Genomic DNA, 9,078 nt, shown 5'->3' with positions numbered 1-9,078 from the left:
CTCTATACTAATAACCAGTTGGTGCCATTGCCAGCGGGAAGCTTCCAGTGGTGGCTGCCAGTCCTGGCCTGGGTGCCATTTTGTCTATGTGGCAGAAACTGCTCTCTCCTCACAAAGAAGAGCCTATCAATGAAAAGAGTCAAACTCTGTAAAATGTTTGAAGATATTTATTCTGAGCCAAATATGAGCGACCAGTGGCCTATGCCACGGCCCTCAGGAGATCCTGAGAACACATGCCCAAGGTAGTTGGGCCACAACTTGGTTTTGTACATTTTAGAGAGACATAAGGCATCAATTAATACAGGTAAGATGTACATTGGTTCAGTCCAGAAAGGCAGAACAACTGGAAGCGGGGGCTTCCAAGTCACAGGCCAATTCAAAGATTTTCTCATTGGCAATTGGTTGAGTTATTATCAATAGAAAGGAATGTCTGGGTTACAATAAGGGATTGTGGAGACCAAGCTTTTATCATGCAGATGAAGCCTCCAGGTAGCAGGCTTTCTTATCAGACTTAAAGAGTCTGTTCTATCAGTAATTCCAAAAGGGAGGAGGGTGTAATGAGGCACTTTGCCAATGGACTGGACATTGTGGCAGGTTTCTCAAAAGTTCTGGGTACACTAAATAACCTCTTTGGAGTAAATCAGTTACAGCAAATATTTATTGAGCACCTACTGGGTGCAAGGTCATGTGCTTAACAAACTATATTATAATTTTAGAGTGGTATTTTCCTCATTCTCAATAAATGTTTAATGGTGTAACTTCCTGCCCGCTGCACAAACAAATTCAACTCACTGAGACTATGGCATTACCGTAAAGAAAGTGTTTAATTGACACAAGGCTGGCCACTCCACAAGGGAGACAAAGTTATCACTCAAACCAATCTTTCTGAAGTCTTGGAGGTTAGGGGTTTTTCAAAGATAGTTTGGTGGGCAGGGTGCTAGGATGGGGGCATGCTGATTGGTTGGGTCAGAGATGAAATCATAGAAAATTGAAGCTGTTCTCTTGTGCTGAATCAGTTCCTGGGTGGGGACCACAGGACTGATTGGTGGGTTGGGATGGGGAAGGGGGCATCAGATTGTCAGAAATGCAAAAACCTGAAAAGACATCTCAAAAGACCAATCTCAGATTTTACAAGGATGATGTTATCTGCAAGAGTAATTGGGGAAGTTGCAAATTTTAAGACCTCCGGAATAATAGCTGGTAGTTATTTAGGATTCAAGCCCCTCTCACCCTCCTAACTTGGTGGACTTTCATTAATTTTACAAAAACAGTTTAGTTTTGGGAAAAGGCTATTATGATTTAAACTATAAACTAAACTTCTCTCAAAGTTAGCTTGACCCATGCTCACGAATGAGGAAAGACAGCCAACTTGTGAGGCTAGAGACAAGATGGATTTAGCCATGTAAGATTTCTCTAACTGTCACACTTTTGAAAAGGCATTTTCAATAGAAGGTATATCTTAATATTTTCAATTAATTCATTTTGCGCATATCTCCTTAAAACTCTATCATATATGTCAAGTAATTACTTAAATATTTCTATGATTCAGAATATTTAAGCTGGCCTTGAGTTTGGGACAGTCAACTTTTGTACAATCTACCCTTTGATACCTTTTACACTGATACTCCTACACCACCTGTATGGTACATTAAATTCAAACCTTCCCTTGTTAGCTGGTGAATAAGCATTTACATTTCTGCATGCACTGCTAGCCTATCAATGTCTCAAGTCTGGCTGCGTCTCTGTCTTTGCTTGTCCAGCATTGTTTTGCAATTATTTAAATACCTTTTTTTGCATTTTGCTCTTATTTTATAAAAATGAGTACTAAAAGGGGGAAAAATGACAAGAAACAAAGATTTTAAAATCAGCATAATGGAGAAAAGATGGAAAGTATTAGAAATGCTAAAAGCAATATATTTTTGGTTTCAGTCTAATGTTCATTGAACTTAAGCCAGTATATTTTGTATTTGAATGGGAAGAACAAAATTAAAGAACATGCATGAAAGCTGGAAATAATTTGGAGACTGTATCTGAAGAAAGAGATGTAATTAAGCATTTTATCATTTTTCTGGCTTTCCGTAAACAGACCTTCCCTTATAACATATAAGATGATTCAACTTTCTAATATTTACCTTCTGTTTGTGCATATATATGGCATACATAGTGGACTGCTACAAAGAATCCTGGCTGTAAATCTTTTGTAAAGAAATCCTTTCAACAAAAAGAATAAGTTTTTTTTTGTTTGTTTGTTTGTTTGAGACATTATTGTTCTGTCTCCCCAGGCTGGAGTGCAATGGCGCAATCTTGGCTCACTGCAACCTCCCAGGTTCAAGCGATTCTCATGCCTCAGTCTCCCCAGTAGTGGGGATTACAGGTGCCCGCCACCACGCCTGGCTAATTTTTGTATCTTTTTTTAGTAGAGATGGGTTTTCACCATGTTGGCCAGGCTGGTCTCGAGCTCCTGACCTCAAGTGATCTGCCTGCCTCGGCCTCCCAAAGTGCTGGGATTGCAGGCATGAGCCACTGCACCTGGCCTCAACAAATAAAAATTCTTGATGGTGGAATAAGTACCAAGTTTGCTTCTAATTCCTCCCAAACCCCACTGAAATAAAACATGTTGTTACAAAAAGAAAAGAAAAAAAGAGACTAGGAGGGGCCGGTTGCCCACAGAGAGTTTTCAAGAGATTTCTGAAAGAAGAGAAGAGAGCTGAGACAGAAAACTTGTAGAGAAAGAAGGATGAAAAGCAGAAGCAGTTGTAGGACAAGAGCTCTTCCTGTCTTTTGTAACATTCTTAATTAACTGAAGAGACTGCAAAGTGCCTTTAATGGCAATAAGACAAGGAGGGTGGGGAGTAATTTCTTCCAGAATTAAGATGAAGTCAAGCTATCAAAGGTTAGATGTTTCAGCGATGGGAGAACAAAGGGTCTTGTGCACTGTTGCTGGCTAACCTTGAGGAGGAGCAAGGCAGGAAAGGAGGAGGGGGTTACTGGGTAGTACCGAAAAGGAGGCTGGGCCCCAGGTATCAGGGTCCTCATACTGATAAAGGTCCTGTACCTAGCATAGAAGCAGAAGCCACTGCAGCTCATAGGACCATGTTTCCAGCCAGGAGAGAGGTCTCCAGTGCTAATGCTTGCCCACTGTGAGTTGTGTCCAGAATCTGGTTTTATTGTATTAAAAGAAAATAAAGCATAGACATTGCTTTAACACATAAGCCTTTTGTTAAAATTCAGAACCTCTACATTAAGAGGAAGAGGAGGAGTTATAGCAGTACCTTGAATAATAGTAATATTGATTATCCTGGTACAACCACTGGAGAGACAGGTTTTTGGTCAAAGGGACATTTTGACACCTAAAATTAAAATAAATAATCATCTGTTATCTTAGGACTGGCTTGCCTTCCAGGAACTATTTCTCACTTTGCAAGCACCACCTGTCACTGATGGGTACAGATCACACCTATGGTTTTCTTTCTGAGATTCTGATATTCTATTTAAATATATATATTATATTTAACTATATATATATTTATATATACATTTAAGAGTCTCACTCTGTCATGCAGGCTGGAGTGCAGTGACACAATCACAGCTCACTGCCGCCCCAAACTCCTAGGCATAAGGGATCTTCCCACCTCAGCCTCTCGAGTAGCTGGGACCAAAGGTGCCTACCACCATGACTGGCTAATTATTTTATTTTATTTTGTAGAGATGGGGGTCTTGTTATGTTGTCCAGGCTGGTCTCGAACTCCTGGCCTCAAGTGATCCTCTAACCTTGGCCTCCTAAAGTGTTGGAATTACAGGTGTGAGCCACCATGCCTGTCCAAATCAAATATATTCTACCAAGCTACTAAGTACAAATCAACTTTTGCAGCCTCAGTGGGAATGGAAAGGGGCTACAGAAAGGATAGAGGGCAGCATCTGGCCTTCCTGAGAGGCAGATGGAGAGATCAGGGAGTTCTCCTTGACAGCTTTGCAGTCAGAATGTGAGGCCTGGGTTAACACATGCTTCCCATGAATGCCTTAGTTGGTCACTCATCCCATACTGCAGCTGCCACTGATGTGTGGTCTTAGTTGTTCTTTTTCTCAGGTGTCATTGTTTAGCCTGTGCTCCAAAAGGTCCCCAAAAGGAGCAGTGATGTCTTTCCTCACACCCAGGGTGGGAATGGCCTGCAATAAGGTGCTCAGGGAAAACACTCCAGAAATTTGATTTTGTAAAAGTAGTATTTGCATCTGGCTAAGAAATTGTCCACCCCTCAGATTCGTTCTTCAAGTGGTGATGCCTATGTCTCTAATTGTGCTTATACTACTGTTTGGCATTCAGGAGCCTCAGGTGTTGCCTGTTGACTCCTTGTCGTGTCAGAAGACTCAGCTCTCTTATATGCCCTGCCTTCATCCCACTGTTCCATACCCCTCCTCACGATTCTCAGTTTCCCCCCTGGCTGCATCTTCAGTTTCAAACAATGCACTTAGGCTTCCATTTGTTGTTCCACTTAGATAGTAGTTTGTGACCTCCTTGTTTTAACATGAGGTTAATTATGCCCAACTTTTCCCTCCTTTTCTCTACCTCCACCTCTTCCATTCCCCTATCTTGGCCAAGATTGGTAAGATTAACATTCTCAAGTTTGGGTAACATATTCATTCTGTCCTGCAACTAGATTGTCTTCAGTGATTTGCTGATTCATTCATTCATTCATTCATTTGATAGGTATTTATTGAGCACCTACTATGTGCCCAGCACTGTTTTAGGCACTGAGGATACAGAAGTGAATGCAATAGACAAGCATCCTTCACGGAGCCTTTTCCCTCTAGTTGGAGAAAAGTAGGTCAAATCTCTATTGTGTTAGATGACAATACATCCTAAGGAAGAAACCAAAGTAGGGAAAGGGAAAGGACTCACATGAGAACACAGCTGTACACACACCCAGTCACAGTGGCCTGAAGGAAGTGAGGGAATGAGCCATTTGGGTGTCTGGGGGCAGAAGGAGTAGGAAGTATAATGGCCTGAGCCGGGGGGCAGGCCTAGTTAGTTGAAGAAGCTGAAAGGAAATGTAGTGAGGTTGAGGGAGAGTAACAGGAGGTGAAGTTGGAGGGGTACTGGAGAACATATGTGAATGTGGTGTGTATATGTGTGTACCACATGGGTGCAGCTTGAGTGGAGCCATGTGGCCATCTGGGTGACAGGATATACTGCATTTTAACAGGGCCACTTGGGTTGCTGTGCCGAGAAGAGACTGTTGTGGACCATAGGTGGAGACCTTTGAGAACGCTACTACAAAAATCCCGGTGAAATATGACAATGGCATGAAGTCAGGGATAGCCATGGAGGTGGAAAGAAATGAATGGATTCTGGATATATTCAGAAGTTAAAGTGAGGCCGGGTGTGGTGGCTCACACCTGTAATTTCAGCACTTTGGGAGGCCAAAGCAGACGGATCACTTGGGGTCAGGAATTTGAGAGCAGCCTGACCAACATGGTGAAACCCTGTCTCTACTGAAAATACAAAAATTAGCCAGGTGTGGTGGCGTGCATTTGTAATCCCAGTTATTCAGGTGGCTGAAGAAGGAGAATTGCTTGAACTTGAGAAGGGGAGGTTGCCGTGAGCTGGGATCGCACCACTGCACTCTAGCCTGGGCAAAAGAGTGAGACCCTGTCTCAAAAAAAAAAAAAAAAAAAAAAAGGCCAGGCATAGTGGCTCATGCCTGTAATCCCAGCAGTTTGGGAGGCCCAGGCGAGCGGATCACTTGAGGTCAGGAGTTCAAGACCAGCCTGGAAAACATGGTGAGACCCCATCTCTTCTAAAAATACAAAAATTAGCTGGGCATGGTGGCGCACACTTGTAGTCCCAGCTACTCAGGAGGCTGAAGCAGGAGAATCACTTGAACCCTGGAGGTAGAGGTTGTAGTGAGCCGAGTTCGCACTGTTGCACTTCGGCCTGGGCAAGAGAGTGAGACTCTGCTTCAAACAAACAAAAGCAGTTAAAGCTGATGGTATTTCCTGACCAATTGGATGTGGAGTATGAGAAAAAGAGGAGTCAAAATGACTATAAGTGTTGTAACCTGAGCAGTGGGAAAGATTGATTGATTCTAATGGATTCTAATAAATTAATTCTAAAAGCCAACTACTAATACACAGCAAATGCATTATTCTAACCATGAAATCACTCTTCCCTGAAAGCCTATTTTTTCAATATCACTATCCTTTGGACCACTCAAAAGGGAAATTTCATAGTGAAAAGTTCATGTGGCTTCTTCTTTCTCAAAACCATCCCACCTTTAAGTTGGTTCAGATTGTTTTTTGAATAGGCAAAGCATTTATATGGCTCAAAATCCAAAATAATACAAATATTATATGGTAAAAAGTCTTTCACTCACACCCATCCATCTGCTCTATATTTAAACCAGCTTTGTTTTTTCTTTTTGGTACAGTTTTTGTTTTATTTTAGTTTTTGCTTTACTCCTGGAGTTTCTAAATAGCCTTTATTTTATGTAAAGAAGAAACACATGCCTACTTCACCATATTTCAAACATTTCCTAGCTTCTTCCTCCTTTTATCTATACCTTAGAATGTATTTCATTCTTCTCGAAGCTTGCTGCCTTCCCATCATGATTTGGATCAATTTCTTTATATTTTATCTATGACTTTCCCCTACAGCAGTTGGATTTGTACATATGTGTGTATTTGGCATTTTAAATTACCTTTCCCCCTCCCACTCATGCATTATTTGCTTTTATCACATCCTCAAATTTTTCCAAGTTTTTAATCATGCAACCTATTACATGGAGTTCCCTTTTATCCTAGAGCAGTGGTCAAAAAACTTTTCCTGTGAAGAACCAGATAGTAAATACGTTAGGCTTAGTTTACCATACAGGGTTGAGCAGCTACTCAGCTGCTGGAGCATGAAATTAGCCATAGACAATCAGTAAACAAGTGAGCATGGCTGTGTTCCAATAAGACTTTATAGACACTGAAATTTGAATTTCATGTAATTTTTGTGTATCATGAAATACTCTTATTTTTCTTGAAATTTTTTTTCAACCATTAAAAACTTCAGGGCCAGCCATAATGGCTCATGCCTGTAATCCCAGCACTTTGGGAGGCTGAGGCGGGTGTATCACTTGAGGCCAGGAGTTCGAGACTAGCCTGGCCAACATGGTGAAACCCTGTCTCTACAAAAAATGCAAAACTTAGTCGGGTGTGGTGGTGTGTGCCTGTAGTCCCAGCTACCCAGGGGGCTGAGGCAGGAGGATCGCTTGAGCCAGGGAGGTTGAGGCTGCAATGAGCCAAGATGTAACAGGCAGACCGTGTCTCAAAAAAACAAAAAAAAACAAAAAAAAAACCACCGTTCTTTGCTGGTAGGTCATACAGAAGCAGGCAGCAGGCTGAATTTGGCTCACAGGCTGACACCAGCTGACCCCTGTCCTAGTGTTCTCCTTCCTAATGCTTCAATCGAGTTTGCTTGCTGTCTGGGTTTGCTTCACAGTCATTATTCTGAGAGTTCCCTGGAGTCTCTCCGGGGCTGGATCCACTGCTTCCTGGAGCCCATGTCTTCCTCATTTTTGCATTAATCCCTCATTTTATTGGAAAATATTCTCAAGGAATTTATGAAGAAAAGCCACATTTCCTTATTCTTAATATTCTGGAAAATATCTTCATTCTACCATCATACTTTTAAAAAAATTTTTTTAATAATTTTTTTTTTTTTTTTTTTTTTTTTTTTTGAGACAGAGTCTTGCTTTCTCACCCAATCTGGAGTAGAGTGGTACAGTCTTGGCTCACTGCAACCTCCACTTCCCGGGTTCAAGCAATTCTCCTGCCTCAGCCTCCTGAGTAGCTGGGATTGCAGGCACCCACCAACATACCAGGTAATTTTTTTGTATTTTTAGTAGAGACAGGGTTTTGCCATGTTGGCCAGGCTGGTTTTGAATTCCTGACCTCAGGTGATCTGCCCACCTCGGCCTCCCAAAGTGCTAGGATTACAGGCATGAGCCACTGCGCCCGGCCTTTTTAAAATTTTTTTTGAAATGGAGTTTCGCTCTTGTCCCCCAGGCTAGAGTGCAATGGCACAATCTCAGCTCACTGCAACCTCTGCTTCCTGGGTTCAAGGGATTCTCCTGCCTCAGCCTCTGAAGTAGTTGGGATTACAGGCATCCTCTACCATGCCCAGTTAATTTTGTATTTTTAGTAGAGAAGGGGTTTCACTATCTTGGTCAGGCTAGTCTTGAACTCCTGACCTCAGGTGATCCATCTACCTTGGCCTCCCGAAGTGTTGGGATTACAGGCATAAGCCACCGCGCCCTGCCCCCTCATACTTTATTATCAGTTTGGCTACATCTCGAATTCAAGGGTCAAAGTATTTTCCCTAAAAACTTCTAGTCTTTCATTGTTGCTGATGAGAAGTTAGATGCCAGTGTGAGTCTTGTTCATTTTGTAGGTAGCCTATTCTCCCCAACACTAAACACTTTTAGAATTTTCTCTTTATCTTTGGTGTTATGAAATTTCATAACTATGAGTCTGAATTTTTATAGTTTTTTCACTTATTATATAAACTTTATTTTTCCTTTTTTGATTTCCACTCCTCATTTTTAAAAATATTGTCTCTTTCTGGAACTCCTGTTAGATGTTGAAACTCCTAGATTGATCCTCTACACATACATCTTATTTTAAATATTTTATATATTTCTTTTTGTTCCTTTTAATTCTATCATCTGTGAGAATTCCATATCTTTATCTTCCAAACTTTCTACTGAATTATTCATTTTAACAATGTTAATTCTATTTTTTAAGACACTTCTTGTTCTTTGTTTATTTTTAATAGCATTCTTGATTTCTATATATTCCACCTTCTCAAAACCCTCTGGGGGAACTGCTCCAGTTACTATTGCTGCATAACGAGCTATCCCCAAGCAACCATATTATACAACTCACAGATTCTGTGAGTCAAGGATTTGGAGGAGGATGGACTGCCTCTGCTCTGGCACATGTGAGGCATCTGCTGGGAAGACTCAAAGACCCAATGCGATTCCATGGCAGGGGCCTAGAATCATCTAGAGGCTTCTTCACTCACATATCTGGTGTCTG

The 9,078-nt window shown here is 41.5% G+C and overlaps 1 annotated feature.

Moving 5' to 3' along the window:
* Positions 215-750: an enhancer, noted in NCBI's record as "OCT4 hESC enhancer chr2:48414573-48415108 (GRCh37/hg19 assembly coordinates)". NCBI's record gives its function as "activates a minimal SCP1, AML or CMV promoter by ChIP-STARR-seq in primed H9 embryonic stem cells {active_cell/tissue: H9 hESC(primed)}" and the evidence as "EXISTENCE:reporter gene assay evidence [ECO:0000049][PMID:30033119]".

This window comes from Homo sapiens, chromosome 2 (assembly GCF_000001405.40).
Source record: "Homo sapiens chromosome 2, GRCh38.p14 Primary Assembly".
Taxonomy (NCBI): domain Eukaryota; kingdom Metazoa; phylum Chordata; class Mammalia; order Primates; family Hominidae; genus Homo; species Homo sapiens.
This window is presented reverse-complemented; position numbering and strand designations above follow the sequence as displayed.